The sequence below is a fragment of the Homo sapiens genome, chromosome 9 (genome assembly GCF_000001405.40).
Source record: "Homo sapiens chromosome 9, GRCh38.p14 Primary Assembly".
Taxonomy (NCBI): domain Eukaryota; kingdom Metazoa; phylum Chordata; class Mammalia; order Primates; family Hominidae; genus Homo; species Homo sapiens.
Genome location: NC_000009.12, coordinates 74,615,699 through 74,633,085, shown reverse-complemented (window position 1 = coordinate 74,633,085; position 17,387 = coordinate 74,615,699). Strand labels below are relative to the sequence as shown.

At 36.4% G+C, this 17,387-nt stretch overlaps 1 protein-coding gene and 1 long non-coding RNA gene across 3 annotated transcripts in view; one reads left to right on the top strand and one right to left on the bottom strand.

Annotated features, from left to right (window-relative positions):
• Window positions 1-17,387, bottom strand: part of RORB (RAR related orphan receptor B) — a 195,843-nt gene that overhangs the window by 60,092 nt on the left and 118,364 nt on the right. For both annotated transcript variants that reach the window (NM_006914.4, NM_001365023.1), the window contains exon 2: window positions 2,719-2,804. In NM_006914.4, the coding sequence (NP_008845.2) occupies window positions 2,719-2,804 (86 nt within the window). The remainder of the gene's footprint in view (window positions 1-2,718; window positions 2,805-17,387) is intronic.
• LOC105376088 (uncharacterized) lies at window positions 39-2,008 on the top strand. Its single transcript, XR_929948.3, has 3 exons — window positions 39-217; window positions 1,309-1,400; window positions 1,922-2,008. It is a non-coding gene; the product is annotated as an uncharacterized LOC105376088 (long non-coding RNA).

The window sequence follows — 17,387 nt, the reverse complement described above, 5'->3', positions numbered from 1 at the left end:
TTGATCAACCTGTGAGGAAACTCAGACACGGAGGTGTGGCCGAGCATCTCCTCAGAGAGAGAGAGAGTCCCAACTGGCTTAGCCATTCAACAGGGACTAGTTTCATCCCTATAGATCCAAGTGCATTCCTTATTTAATAAACCAGTGATTGCAGAATGAGACTTCTGACTGTCCAGTTTGACTGAATTCATGGAGCATCTTAGAATGGAGATCAAACGTAAGCTCCCAGGGATTGAAATGATGTACTTTATATACCATGAAAACTGTCAGGAAGCATAACCTCAGCCCATCAGTCTTGATTAAAGATGACTTGAAATTTACATTTTAAGACAGAATTGTGTGGTTTTTATCTTTGGATACTCTAGTGCTACTTAGCAAAAGAGTTGACAGGACAGAAAAGACTTTTCTGAAGTCACAGCTACAGCCCTAATTTAAGACCAATTTGACATTAATTACGACTCGTTTCTTGCTTATCTGTTGCTCATTATTGCAAATGAGGTTTTTGGCATGAAAAAGGGATTGCGTTCCAAATTTTATTGAATGAATAGAAATTTGAATAAGTGCACAAGCTGAATTGATGTTATTTAGAATGGGTTGTTTATGTTGACTTGAAAACAGTATTATGAAAACTCAGAGGTTGATACTGAATGTGCTGACATTGGCATCAAATTCTGAAGAGAATTTTTAAGTTCTGTATTTGCAGAAAAAAGTAGCATATTTACAAATGTGGGTTTTTTCCATGAATTTAAAAAAATAGTGTGGTGTACAGTGCCATTTTGACTAAAACCTCAGAGTATGCTTCATAATAACAGCATAATTTCTTTGATTGTGGATTCTTCCTTTAAATAGAAAAGATGACACTTGTTCTTGGCTATTGGCTTGCTGGGTTATATTTGTGCACTAGTTAAATTTTTTGGAAATTACTGTTTAAAATATTTTGCTTTTTAACTTGAACATATCCCCATCTTTTGAAATCACACATTTTTCAAATAGAGCTTATACAATCAAATGCCAAACATCTCCATTTTGATATTGATCTAAAAATCAGTTTTAGTAGATATTATGTAAACCAGAGCTCTCAAGATTGCATAACAAGCCAATAGAATGGTAGAAATACTTTCAATGGAGAGGATTCTGACTCCTAAACTATTACTGTTTATGAAGAAAACTATTTGTCTATCTGCCTAGAGGAAGTAATAACTTATTCAAGGAGGGTAAAAAATTGCTGACATAATTTTGTTTTCTTGTTTATTCTTGATGAGTTGAAAAATTGCATTAAAGTGGACAACATGGAATTCTTAATTATAGATCTGCAGAGGAACAGAATGTGAAGAACATCTCACGATATTCACAAATAGATTATCACTAATCATCTTTAAAGTAGAGCAGTGTGTTGACAGGTTAGTACGTTAATATCATGCTCCTTCTTCTTCCCTCTCCCACTTTATTCTTACTTATTTCCTTTTCTTTTCTTCACTCCAGTTTTAATTCCAAGACTCATGCCTTTTTGAGACCATTAGGAAGGCATTGTCAATTTATCACACAGTACCAGTATTTGACAGTTACAGTGTGTTTTGCCTTGTTTATATTTGAAATCCTGTTTAAGATTAAGATTAGATCTTAAGACTCTATGACTGTACTACACTTCCTTCAGTTTACTGGCCTTAAAAGAATAATTCACTTTGCTTGCTTCTTTGATCAAAAATATAATTGCTCTTGCCAATAACTTTACCAGCATATTACCTTTTCCTCCCAGACTGTGGCTGCATTTTATTTGTTCTGGTTACACATGGTCCTTTAGCGTTAGCTATAGAACTGTTTTGATTTCCCCTGGCTATTATGTCTCTCACACTCACTTTCTTTCCTTCTAAGGATTCATTATTAAAACTTACTGTTAAATTTCAACATTCTCTTATTTCAGATTAAGTCTACGTTTACTGCTATTCCTCCAGCTCTTTATTTAAGAAAGCAGCTTGCTCACAGTAATTAGTTTGCCACGGGAAGGATGAGTGGAATCTGTCTGGAAGTGGAACACTGGATTGAGACTGAAAAACCCCATGTTTTTGGCCATGCTCTGTTCTTTACTGTCTGAATCAATGATGTTGATCAGATGACATAATCTTGTTTATACCTCAGGACCTCATCGGAAAATGAAGAGGTGGGTGGGGGCAGGTGAATTTTAGTCGATTTAGAGTTAATCTTTTCGGCTTCTAACATACCATGCTTCCAGTTTTCTTTTCTTTTCTTTTCTTTTTTTTTCCTGTAACTTGAGAATAAAGGATGGCCATATGCATATTGTAGCTGTTACCTTGACTTCCTCTTTCTCAAGCAGAAAGTTAAATATATACCTATTAGTTTATAATCTTTATTTTAACCTTTAGTTTTTTCATATAGTAATAAGTGCCTTGGAATTTACTGGAGACAATACTGCTAAAACAGCAAGAGTCAGTGTTTGTATCTCTGTAAATGTGAATAACCCAAGGTTTTAAATACGCATCCATTTTTAAAGAGCTGCTGACCAGTTAGACAATAACAAAAAGGTAAAAGGCAAAAGACCAGAAAATCAACCCTCCCACCCACCACGCAAGAATTCCTGAATGTCAGCAGCAGGCAGAAGGATCCTTTAGCCAGCCTTCCTTAAAAACGTGTCACCGCATCTTGTGAGGTACACAGATGCCTGAGGCAAATACAGAACCGTGCTGTATGAAAGTCCCATACCTTGCAGCCTTCACATGTGATGACTCCGTAGTGGATCCCAGAGGACTTATCGCCACAAATTTTGCATGGTATCACTTCAATTTGTGCTGAAAGGAGAAAACAGACATTTTGAGCATACAGATGTTTTCTTTCTCCTTTCACTCTTCCTATCTCTCTCCCCATCTATCTCTGCCTTGATGTTTGTATTTGAAAATACTGGGGTGTGAGCGGTGGTGTGGGAGTCATCCATTAGTATTTGCATGGCTGTCCTAAGCTTCTTCTAAGTCAAAGTACATTTCTCTGCCACAGTTTGCTTCGTTTTTCTCAAACTAAAAAAATACAACCAGAAACCAGTTTTCCAAAGTCTTGCATTCACTGTTTTCTCCTTTGTGAATTTGACCTTAAAAGTAGTGGGACTCAAAAAGCCTTTGAACCCACGGCTTTTCTTTTCTTATTTTGCACTTGAAACATTAAGTTACTGAGATCTTTCACATGGCCTTACCTCAGTGATATTTAAAATAAATACATAAATAAAGCAAAACTCTGGGAGGGAGCAGTGCATGGTAGCTTTATACATTGTGTGGCTGGATGTTTACTTACAAAAATGTCAATAATAAATCAGTCCAATATTTACTGAGCATGCTGTATATGTTCTCTAAAATAATAAAGGATATTGATGGAGGATAACATATGCTAATGATGCTAATAATCTAATTAATGAAATTAATACATGGAGAAATCAGGATAAATTATGAGGGTACCAAATATGAATTCAATACAAACTGAAATAGTTTCATTGGAGATGAAGGCATTTTTGTTGATTCTGAAGATCGTGCAGGATTTAATTAGGACGAAGGGAAAGGCAAAGGGCATTTCTGTTGGCAGAAGGGAAATGAAAAAAGATTGGAGGCCTGGGATGATTGTGGATTGTGATCATTGAGACAATAACTTGGCTATAATGTAAATTTAGGTCAGATGATTGGCTAGAGGGTTGATGCCAGATTATGGAGTTCCTGGGGTTAGGCAGAGAGGTTTTCATCTGATCTCACTGGCCATAAGGAATCAACGAAGTGAACAGGGTAAAGAAACGATCAAAGTAACTCACCTTAGAAAGGTGAGTTTGGCAGGCTACCCATAAACAAGCAGAAGACCAACTAAAGATTACTTCCAACTTGGGTGTTAGGAGATAAAAACATGGCTTATTACATAAGTGGTAGGATAAATGGAGAGGAAGATGTAAATAGAAAGATGGTTCAAAGGCAGAAGCTAGATTATATGATTAAAAAAGGGAACCGACATGGAAACGAAGAGTCAAAGGTGACTCCTAGTTTCCTAGCCAAGAGGCTGAGATAAGGTAGTAAGTTGGACAGAAATGGGGTTGTTGGTAAGGCAGTTACTTTGGTGGAATATGGTGGGGCATGGGATTTCTATTTTCTATGTGTGCAATTTGGTGTAAAGTCCTGTATATAGAACCTCTTGGTAAGATGATTTTAAATAATCAGCACACAGGTTATGGATGGATCCATGAGACAAAATTTATTTAGAATGTAGTGATTCCTATGTCTGATAGTATTCTAAGAGTTGTTAAAATTATACACACTAGAAGATCTGCTATTTCCTCTTACAATTTAAAATAATTATGCAAAATATACTTCAAAATGCGTTGTATATCAATCTGCCACTTGGATGCTTTTCTACAGTTTCTCACTCTTGCATATACAAAACAAATAAATGCAAGACATTGCCCTCTTTTTCTTATTTTACATTTTTTAAAAAAGACAATACTTAGCTTTAGGGCAGTACATTGAATTTTTAAAAAAGTAAATATTTCACAGAAATTTCAAATCATCTTTGTAAGCAAAAAACCTCAGTGTTGTGTGCCTATTTTTCATGTGAAAAAATTGAGGATCCAGGTTAAGTTCTGCTTTTGAGGTGATTTGGGAATTGACAACCAGAAATTAGCTAAATATCCTGATACTTCATTCAGTAACCATTCTCTGACTTCCACACAGACAAAATAAGATTACAGTTTTAAATTCCTATATTACTCCAATAGCTCCAGCTAAAGAGCTAATGATAAAAAAACAGAAGAGACAAAGTCACCTCTAAAATACTTATGAGACTAAGTATACATTTCTATTCATTTCTTTTTATTTTAGCTTTTAGATTACACGAGCTAGTATTTGTTTTCAAGATTTTGTGGTAGGAGAAAAATATGAGATTTGATGTTATTCTATTCTGTCCTTCTGGACTCCAGTCCTTAGTCTGTTAATGATTGGAGCCACGGCCAAGATAAAATATCTGATCTTATGCTTTCTAGTTTATAAAGCTTAACTGACAAACTTCATAGATTTGTGAGGTTCAAACAGATATTTTATGTAGAAGCACCTTGTAAAATGCTGAAGAGCTAGGAAATGTTAGTCTTCATTATCATCATCATCACATCAATCATTATTGTTAACTGGTTTTCTAAAACTTTTGGACACAAAATATGACAAGCCACATTATTATTCCTTTATCAAAGATCTTTTCATTTAAAAATAATCTAATAAATGACACAGCAAGTCATTTGTACTATGGTTTTTTTTTTTAGCAATAACCTTTCAAATGTTGGATTGTTTATAACGATTACAAAATTGACTAAAAATCTCAGTTATCCATTGTATAGTTTTTAGCTTATATAATATTAAGTCAAAGGTTCTCTTTGCATAAATTACTCCCCAGGGAGTAGCTTACACGTGGGGAGAATCTGCTTCTATAAGTTCTTAATTATAAAATGATCTAACTTTAAAGGAAATGAAAATAGAGATAATTTGCCCCCTGGGGTGTGACAAGATGTTTTTGAAAGCCACAGAGGTTATCTTACACAACTTTGGAAATACAAATGAGATAAGGAACATTTGATAGAGCATCTGCATATTTATACATATTTATAATCCAGACTCAACATGTAATCCTGAAGAACTATAAACATCTTAACAACATTTTTAAAGAGAAATAAGTCACTTAAAATGGTATATGTGTATAGCTGTGTGTGGAAAGGGGTTATCAGTTTGGAAATCTGTGACCATTTTAACTTATTGCAATATAATAAATCATCCGAGGTTTATGATAGGTAAAGGTAAATTTAAGTCATTTAAAATACTAATTCTTTTCATTTTCTCTCATGTAAGGAAATAAACTGCTTCTGAGCTGCAGCTTTATAGTTTATACTTTTTTTTTTTTTTTGAGATGGAGTCTTGCTCTGTTGCCAGGCTGGAGTGGAGTGGCGCGATCTCAGCTCACTGCAACCTCCGCCTCCCCTGCTCAAGCGATTCTCCCACCTCAGCCTCCCCAGCAGCTGGGACTACCGGTGTGTGCCACCATGCCCAGCTAATTTTTGTATTTTTAGTAGAGACGGGGTTTCACCATGTTGGCCAGGATGGTCTCGATCTCCTGACTTTGTGATCAGCCTGCTTTGGCCTCCCAAAGTGCTGGGATTACAGGTGTGAGCCACCATGCCCGGTCTATACTATGTGTTTTATAAAGCACATCTTCCAGACAGCATTTCACAAACTGATTAGAACAACAAATCCCATTATTTCTCCAATGCCTGCCATTTCTCAATATCTTGCCACTATAACAGGCATAGGCTCTTGTGGAATTGTCTTGCAGTGAATACAGATCTAGTGACATGCTGTTGACTACGGTTTCCAACTGAACATCTTGGGAGGATTTGGCTGTTTGGACCTCACCAGCTGTTACAATGAAGGTTATAGAAGGAAACTGAGGAAAGAGTTTGACCTTTGTATTTTGCTTGACTCATGGATTTATTCAACAATAGTATTCCCCAAGAGACAAACTTAGAGGAACTGAAATGCCCTGAGAGATGGCTTGAGTGAGGTTTATTCATTTTTCATTTTTTCAATTTCTTAGATATTCATTTCACTTATATTTTTCTATTGGTAATCCTTTGTGGAGACTATAGTTAAAATGTTATGTATTAATTAATATTTTTGTTTATAAAATCAATGCTATATAATTTTATCTTTTTTGAAACAATATTATGACAGTGTCAAAGAGTGTCATGAAAGATTTAAAATAATTTGCTGCTTTACTTTATATTAGAACAAATGATGAAGTACAATTAGTTTACTATCTAGTGATCTGGCAGGCAGATCCTATTCAACAATTATGGAATAAACAAAATTTCTCTCCCTCTTTGAAGATGGCAATTCTCTCCCCCAAGCTCCCCCTGAAAACCCCTTCTTTGTTTAGAGTTCCCTGCCACAACTTTGCACAAAACTACCATGTTTTCACTTCTTCCTGCATGTCAAAACACACACATTTTTAGTTCTGCCCCCTCAGAACCTCCGCTAGTAACAGCAGGTGTTAAGATTATATAAACTAATCCAGCTAATGAGTTAACTAGAAAATGCATCACATTGATTCAACAAAATACCTTAACTCTTAAAAGCATACATTAAGAATGGTAATAATAACAGACTTTTCACGTACGTTCTGGTTGGAGGTAACATTTTTACTGTGTTTGTTCTTATGGCTCTCAATTCTCACCCTTCCAACTCTTACAATTCAACTTGGCCATTCCTATATTCTGGGCATTTTAAATCCATTGAAGAGAGGGACAAGATCATACTTTGTTTTCTATGGTGTCTAAAGGAGAATTTTTATAACTCCTTAAAGTAGTGGTTCTAAGTGTTTTATTTATTTCAGTACAACCACGAGATTTGATATACTCCTTCTTATAAAAGAGGCAATAAGCAATATTAATGTTTTTTGAGACAGGGTCTCACTTTGTCATCTAGGCTGGAGTGCAGTGTTATTGTAGCTCACTGCAGCCTCAAACCCCCAGACTCAGGGGATACTCCCATCTCAGCCTCCTGAGTATCTGGGACTGTGGGTGTGCACCACCATGCCTGGCTAATTTTTACATTTTTTGTAGGGACAGACTCTTGCTATGTTGTCCAGGCTGGTCTCTAACTTCTGGCCCCAAGTGATCCGCTTGCCTTGCCCTCCCAAAGGGCTGGAATTACAGGCATGAGCCACCATGCTGGGTCTGATTTTTCATATTTGGGATAAAGAGAATGAACCAGAGATTGTGGGGGATATATATTTTGGAAAAGGCCCCCAAGTGATTCTTGTATATGATGAGACACCCATTGGCAATTAAATGAGTTAAGTTATTAGCTAGGAATTTTCTCTACCACATAAATCACCTGCGAAGGTGGAAAAACCCAGGGACAGGCCAGATCTGAACATTTTAAAGAGTCACCAGGAATTCTCTCTATGTTTTCTCACTTTTGGTTTGGGGCTATACTTGTAGCATCTTTGTTTTCTGCTCTCTTTCTTTTTTTTTTGCCTTAAGGACATCTGACCCGGCTATGATTCCTGGACACCAGACACTGTATTCCTAGACACAGACTACATTCTAGGACATTGGATTCACCTGTTAGCTTCTGTTTCCCATAATTGTACAGTTATGCTAAAAGTGGGCAGTGCAATTAAATCTCTTAATGTCTGAGTAAAGCACAATTTACACATGTAGAAATTTCCAATAAAGATGACTATTTTGGTTAAAAATCCTTTTGCAGATGGTCTCAGTAGCCCAAGTTGTATCTCATCTACCCAAATTGTATCTCATCTACCATCTGCGACAAATCCAAGTTAAAAATCTCTGTTTGTACTCTTTCCCTCTCTCACTGGCAGACTGATAAGTATCTATCTCTATTAGGTACAAAATATTCTGATGTCACCTAATAACAAAGCCAAAGGTCTGTGATGCAGCAGGTATCTCTGGGAACCAGTTCCACTGTAACTGTGATTCATCAGACAGTAGCCCCAAGGTTGGGATGGGATAGGATCTTGGAAAAATAAGATCCTCAGAGGACAAATATAAAAGTCTTGAACTTCGGCCGCTATACCATGCTAGAAGGTGGTGATTCTAAAAGATTCCTGTTATTGGATTGTGCCCATGTGTATCTCATCAGTGCAGAGTGCATCTCAACATCAGCTTCCTGTCTAAATATACAATATGGTGCATGAAATTCAGTGCACTCTAATTTCTACTATAACACTCTCACGTCTATCAGCATCTGGGGTCTTCTCTGTAATACTCTGGGTGGTGGGCTGTGTGAGTTTTCTGTTCCAATGGCTGATAGCTCCTAAATAACTTAAAGATACATTTGGCTTTATATTATTTTAATTCCCTATACCATTTATCATCGAAAGTTAGATTAAGAAAAAAATTACTACCATATGATAATGACAAAAGAAGATCATTTTCAAAGGCATCATGTGTAGGATTATCACAATAGAGGCTGATTTATCTTACATATGAACATTTACCCCTGAAGTGTTTGCTCACTCCCCAGAGGACTGAAACAACAGAACATGAGACCAACAAATAACGACAGCAATTAGTATAATCATTAAGAGAAAATACTGATAAGTTAAATATTCCCCTTGTAAACAAAGTAAATCACTTTATAAGTTGTAGCGGCTTTGAACTCATACTTTAGGAATTAATTCCCATTAAATTCATCTTTTCCTGTCAACATTTTAATTATAATGGGATAACTTGTGCGTGGGACCCGACGTTATTCAGGTTGAGTGAATGTCTTTTCGACCACTCAAGGTGTGGTCCACAGAACAGTGGCATTGGCATCTCCGGGGATCATGGTAAAACTGCAGACTACCACGACTCACTCAAGACCAGCTGAATCAGAATTTGCTTTAGAATGAGATCCTGAGGCTAGCATTCGAGTTTGAGAAGCACTGTTCTGTGATGTCCAGGTAGCCACAGTTTTAGCAACTGTAAGAACTGATGGAATTTTAAATTTCCCTGGATTCTGGAAAAGTGGTCTCTGCTTTTGCCTTTTAGGCATTTCCTTTGGATTATAAAGGCAGTAGGATAATTGAAAGATTAGAAGAAAATAAAAAAAAAAAAAGAGAGAGAAAACTCTGGCCACTAATTGACAAGGCAGAAAAAAGAGAACACAGCATATTCCAGAAATATCTTGCGTTACTGTAATTAACACCCAGTGTACCAGGCTTCCTTTGCAGATTTAATGATTGTTACCTGCACCCACATTTTCTCCGCATTCTAGCAATGTTTGGTAATGGCACCTCCCTCTTCTGTACACTCACTCTTGCGGTTGTGGCTACTAGCTTGCTCCTTGGATACTCAGTACTGACAAAGGCTTTCTTGAAACAGTTAAAAACCATACAGTTTTTCTATTTTAAAAATTGAATGGTACTTCTTTTGATAAAGGTAAGGGAGATCAAGCAGTTTTTTGAAACCAGCAATGAACTCATTTTGGCTATTCACAGTAGTTCTGGAAATCCAACATGTGAAAAGCTGTCCTGTCTCATTGAGGCAGATTAGTTAACACGGAGTTCAATGGTCATGATGGATATTTATGGCATTCCTCTCATCTGTTGTGTGCTGTCCTGAGACTTGCTGACTCAAAGTGTGGTCCCTGACCAGTAGCATTGGCCTTCCCTGGGTGCCTGATAGACATGCAGCATTTTGCTCCTACCCTGGGCCTATAAGAATCTGGGTTGTGGCTGGGCACGGTGGCTCATGCCTGTAATCCCAGCATGTTGGGAGGCTGAGGCGGGTGGATTACCAGGTTAAGAGATCGAGACCATCCTGGCCAACATGGTGAAACCCTGTCTCTACTAAAAATACAAAAATTAGCTGGGTGTGGTGGTGCGCACCTGTAGTCCCAGCTACTCGGGAGGCTAGGGCAGGAGAATCGCTTGAACTCGGGAGGTGGAGGTTGCAGTGAGCTGAGATCGCATCACTGCACTCCGGCCTGGGCGACAGACCGAGACTCTGTCTCAAAAAAAAAAAAAAAAAAAAAAAAATCTGGGTTGTAACAGCATCTCTGTGATTCATATACACGATAACATTTCAGAGGTTCTAAAAAAGAGGAAAGCAATACATTCTATAATTTACCCCTCAGGATCTCCATTCCCAAACCTCTCCTCTCTGTGAAGAGAACTTTATTTATTTCTCGCTCTCTATATGAAGACATGTACTCTACTTGATAGCTCATTTTATCCAGTTATGAAAAGAAGAAACAGAATTATTTGCTTCAGTAAATAAAACTCGTCTCTCTTTAGTTCCTTATTTTTTTTCTAAACCCCTTTCTCTAGCCTACATTTAGTTTAAACCTTCAACAGGAAGCTCGTGATTACACAGCATCACCTTCACTGAAGGACAGGGATGGGGCACACCACAAAACCAGGTCCCAGAGATAATTTAGAATGACCAGGCAGAGTTTATTCCTTGGAGAATAATTCAAAAAGAGCAAAATATATCGTTTCAGAAAATGAAAAAAAAATACAACTTTTCTATGTTAAAAATCAAATTGCATTAAGAGAATGGAGAGACGTCAGGACTGAGAGAAAATATTGTGAAACATGTATGTAATAAAGTACTTGAATCCAAAATATACAAAGTGCTCTTAAAATTCAAAAAGTGGCAAAATATCTGAATAGACACTTAACCAAAGAAGATTTATGAATGGAAAATAAGCATATGAAAAGATGCTGAATATCATATGTCATTAAGGAATTGCAAATTAAAAGCAATGAGGTGCCACTATAAACCTACTTAAAAAACTGATAATACCAAATGCTGGAGAGGATACAGAACAAATGGAATGTTTGCTTATTGCTGCTAGGAATGCAAAATGGTACACCCACTTTGGAAGGCAGTTTGACAGTTTCTTACAAAGCTACCCATAGTCTTACCAAACCACCTAACAATTGTGTGCCTAGGTATTTACCATTGAACTGAAAACTTACGTCCACATGACAACGTGCACACAAATATTTATGGCAACTTCATTCATAATTACCCAAAACTGGAAACAATTAAGATGTCCTTCAACAGGTGAACAGACAAACCAACTGTGGTACATTTGTGCTTTGAAATATTATTTGGCAATATAAAAAGAGCTATTAAGCCACGAAAATATATGTTGGAAACTTAAATGGATATTACTGAGTGAAACAAGACAGTTTGATTCCAGCTACATAATATTTTTCAAAGGGCAAAACTACAAAGATAATTAAAAAAATCATTAGTTGCCATGGGTTTGGAGTGGAGGAAGAGGATGAAGGGGTGAAGGGCAGGGAATTGTTAGGGAAGTGAAACTATTCTGTACAATACTGTAATGACAGATACACATCATTACAGATTTGTCAAAACCTATAGAATAGTACAACACAAAGAATAAATGGTTAATAATAATGTATCAGTATTGGTTTATAATTGTAACAAGTATGCCATACTTATGCAAAATAACAATAGAGGAAATTGTGTCTGGGGGGTTGGTGAGTGCACAGAACTCTATGTACTATTTGCTCAATTATTTTGTAAATCTAAAGTGGTGCTAAAAATGTTTATTAATTTTTCAAAAAAGTGAATTGCACAGAGGTGCTTCTTTTGCTGGAGATAGTGAGGAGCATCTGAGAGGGTCCAGCAAAGACAAGTAAGGAGTACTTTAAGAACAACCAACTCCCACTGCTCAACTACATGGAAACTGAACAACCTGCTCCTGAATGACTACTGGGTACATAACGAAATGAAGGCAGAAATAAAGATGTTCTTTGAAACCAATGAGAACAAAGACACAACATACCAGAATCTCTAGGACACATTTAAAGCAGTGTGTAGAGGGAAATTTATAGCACTAAATGCCCACAAGAGAAAGCAGGAAAGATCTAAAATTGACATCCTAACATCACAATTAAAAGAACTAGAGAAGCAAGAGCAAACACATTCAAAAGCTAGCAGAAGGCAAGAAATAACTAAAATCAGAGCAGAACTGAAGGAAATAGAGACACAAAAAAACCCTTCAAAAAAATCAGTGAATCCAGGAGCTGGTTTTTTTGAAAAGATCAACAAAATCGATAGACTGCTAGCAAGACTAATAAAGAAGAAAAGAGAGAAGAATCAAATAGACACAATAAAAAATGATAAAATGGATATCACCACCGATCCCACAGAAATGCAAACTACCATCAGAGAATACTATAAACACCTCTACGCAAATAAACTAGAACATCTAGAAGAAATGGATAAATTCCTCGACACATACACCCTCCCAAGACTAAACCAGGAAGAAGTTGAATTCCTGAATAGACCAATAACAGGCTCTGAAATTGAGGCCGTAATTAATAGCCTCCCAACCAAAAAAAGTCCAGGACCAGACGGATTCACAGCTGAATTCTACCAGAGGTACAAAAAGGAGCTGGTACCATTCCTTCTGAAACTACTCCAATCAATAGAAAAAGAGGAAATCCTCCCTAACTCATTTTATGAGGCCAGCATCATCCTGATACCAAAGCCTGGCAGAGACACAGCAAAAAAAAGAGAATTTTAGACCAATATCCCTGACGAACATCGATGCAAAAATCCTCAATAAAATACTGGCAAACCGAATCCAGCAGCACATCAAAAAGCTTATCCACCATGATCAAGTTGGCTTCATCCCTGGGATGCAAGGCTGGTTCAGCATACACAAATCAATAAGTGTAATCCAGCATATAAACAGAACCAAAGACAAAAACCACATGATTATCTCAATAGATGCAGAAAAGGTCTTCGACAAAATTCAACAGCCCTTCATGCTAAGAACAACCAACTCCTGTAATTCCAGCACTTTGGGAGGCTGAGGTGGGCAGATCATGAGGTCAGGAGTATGAAACCAGCCTGACCAACATGGTGAAACCCTGTCTCTACTAAAAATACAAAAATTAGCTGGGCATGGTGGTGCACACCTGTAATCCCAGCTACTCAGGAGGCTGAGGCAGGAGAATCGCTTGAACCTGGGAGGCAGAGGTTGCAGTGAGCCAAGATCGCGCCACTGCACTCCAGCCTGGGCGACAGAGTAAGACTCCAACTCAAAAAATAAGAAAAACAACTCAGCCAACATCTACTTATTTTAGGTCACAGTTATGTGCAAAACCAAGTTTCTGTCTTCACAATGAATACTATAATTCTACAGCCACACATGTTTACATCACCTGAATGCAGGGCAGACAGGTGACTGCTAAATAAACCTGGAAGAAGACGATGTTAATATGAACTGGGGGAAGCTGGGAAGGTTTGGTGCTGAGGTGCCTTTTGAGCCAGGTCTTGGAAAGTGAGCAAGTTTCAAGTAGTAAATAGCAATGGGAAAGGGCAATCTTAAAGTTGGTGGTTGAAGAGTGAAAAAGGAAAATCTAATAACAAGAACAAAATTCCAGATTACTTGTTTATTTTGGAGACTTAGTTAATGGGGTTAAATGAAAAGTAACTAGTAGCAGAATGCTTCCAGAATTATCAATCATGCCTTAATCTGTAGTCACTAACCATATATCAAGTCGAATCATATGAAATTGCCACCTTTTTGTGCAAAAAATGTTAATATTGCCAATTTCATATAGTTCAACCAAGTATTATTCACTAATTCCTATATTGCATTATTTTCCAGAATACTTGAAAAGACCAAGGATTCAATGCATGCTTGTTAAATATAAATATAAAGCCATTAAATTATCTACTTGGAGTCAGACAAATCAAAGGTTGGGACAATAACCTTTGGCCTTCCACCCCCCACAATATACACACACACACATATACACACACACACGAGCAAAAGTCAAGTGACTAAAGTTTGGTGTAGAAAGCATACACGCTGTTTCTCATTCTGTTCATTGATAGACGCAGTAGAGACCATTCCTGAAGTTCTCAGCACTTGTTCAGAGAGTTTGAAAATAAGTAAAACATGTCTTTTTCTGGTTGGTGGCAAAGAAAGACTAAATCTCTTGAGTGTGTTAAAAAAAGAGACGAGCCAGGACGGCAGAGAAAAGAAGGAGGCTATGTTCTAAAATATAGTGATCAGAACCAATTTCAATGTCTTTGTTTTAGAAAAAAGAAACCTGGTAAAATAAAAGTGACATCATATCTTCTCATGAGGTATGTGAGTGGACTATCACCCCACACTGAGACAATGTCCATGTAAGATTAGAATGTTAGTATTCTACTAACATTTCTCTTCCTAATCTAATAGTAACTTTAACTGGTTCATAACATCTTAACAATTTGCCTGTATTGTTATTTGTCCCTTTTTCACGTTTGCAGACACTTTTGATTTTTAATGTGCCTTTAGCCACTGATGCCCCAAATACTTACATACACAAACTATAGAATATAGGTGAGGTATTTATAGCATGCGCGTGTGTGTGCGTGTGTGTGTGTGCGTCTGTGTGTGATTGGATTATCTACAAGAGCTTTGATTTTTTTGAACATAGATGATGCTACAATGACTAAATATATTGTCAATTTCTGCACTGAAAATTACGTTGTTATATAATTTATGTTCCAGCAAATTTGCAATTTAGCCTCCATTGCTTCAGAATTGAATCTTGAAATAAAAGGAAATTATAGAATTAAAGAGATAATTTTAGTTCTTATTTCATCTCTAGAGATAAGAATGACTTTAGAGGTTAGAGAAAGGCATGTTTGAGTTTAGTTTGTCTTTACCCAGGTGGCCTTTTTGAAAAGGAGACATACAGAATTTAAAGGAAAGTATTCTCATTTGCACACCACACCAGAAATTGCTTCAGGAGCAAAATGATAATTTAGAACGTCACTCTAGAAGCTCCCTCTTATAATTTCACCCTAAGCGAAATGTCACAAAGGCCCGGTGTCAGTGTGGGACTGAGGTGGAGGCTTAGTCACCCAACAAATGTAGAATTAGTGAATAGCTCCCTCAAAGACTGAAGCGCCTGTTCTGCTGATACTGCACACTTTCTCTAAAGAGATTACCAGCATAATCCTAAATATTATGGGACCCGAGATATCTTATATTTGAGCGCATCAGATCCAGCATGCTGCACCTAATCCCTAACAGCTTTATTCGGTGTTTATGTAAGCTGGTGAAGTTGTTGTATGAACATGTCGACTGTCCCTTATTCCCAGAGACAACATCACTCTGTATAATTGCCACAAAAAGTAGTGAGAAATAACATTATAATTTTCAAATTTCACTTTAACAAATTTCCATCTTTCAAATTGCTTTTTTACAAGTAGAACAATCTAATGATCTTTTGGAGATCTATAGTAATATTTGAATGGAGATACTTACGGTTGTTCCATTTGTTAGCTGTGTTTCTTATACGTTAATTTGTAGCAAAGGCATTTTGATGCTACCATGTAAATTGAATTGGTACAAAAAATTTCTTTTCCATTTTTTAGACATTTGAATTACTTCTAAAGAGGCAGAGTTTTTTTGCGGGGGGAGCGGGTGGTGGGAATATTAGACGAGAAAGACATTACTGAAAACTAGGAATTACTAAGCCTAGCACCAGGTATTCTACCGTAGGAACTTTTTTTTTTTTAAAGCTACAGCTTTAATTTGGGATATTCATTTTAATTCCACTAAAATTTAAGTGGAGAAAGAGAAATATCTGGTTCTCTTTGCAAAATGTAAAAACACATTTGTTCATATAGTTCATTTAAAAAGTGAATTGTGTGTGTGTCTGTGTGTGTGTGTGTATGTGCACATAAACCCCTAAAATCGGCCACTATGTTTTATGTAATTTTACAGTAGAAGGTAACTTCATGTTTTTTAAACACAAAATCAGAGGAGAAAGAAACATTTCTGTTCACCTGTGAGCCCCTGCTTATTGTGATTCAGACCCAAAGAGGATTAAGTACATAGACGTTAGTATGTCTAGTGTTATTAATTTCTGAACAACAGCAGCAACAATATCCTGAGTAAATCTGTCAGTAGCAAGGATAGTTACTTAAAGACTCCATTGATGTCAGAAATGCAATCTGCTGGTAATAGCTTATTTCACCAATAAAATCTTTAAATGCATATATTTTGAAATTGGTAATTGCACAGAAACAGTATCTACTTTTTTTCCTACAAATACAAGCACCAGGAAGCTATAAGCATTGTGGAAAGATGTGATTCTGAGTTTATATATTTAAAGGAGTTTAGTTTGATCAGGAACTTTTTTGAACAATGCAGTGTTTATATTATTTGAAACAATTATATCAATTTTCATTTTAATATTTCCAACTGTTGTGCATTGCTATCTAGTACTAGCAAGGAAATTACAATAAATCATTTTACCCTGAAATATTCTTAAAACAAGTGCTCCAAATTTGCCTATATTATGAGATAATGTGTGTCTAGAGAATTATGCACTAACTTGTAAAAAATTTAGGAGAAAAACTCAAATGTAATTCACCTCATAGTTAATAATCATTCAACCAAATAGCTATTATGTTTGAAAATATATTTTTTACATATGATAAAGCATCTGGTATCATATATATAAATCAAATAGATTTTTTTTAAACTTAGAAAAATAAAATCAACATGATAGCAATGCTGATGACCAAAATCAAAGCTACAAAACTGTGAGAAGGATGTTCATATGATTAACCTAATGTTAGTATAATGTGGTGGATAACGACTTGAATTTAATCTTGAAACTTATGCATTTGGTAGTTCACTCCAGGATATGACAGTATTTATATATAAATATCTTCTCCAGTGTAAAATTAAGCCTGAGTGACTTGTTTTATTATATACATTCCTGAGTCAGAAAATATTTTTTTGTCCCCACACCTAGCTATCAATTTATTTTGCTGAGAGCTTATAAATGCTTACTTCCTT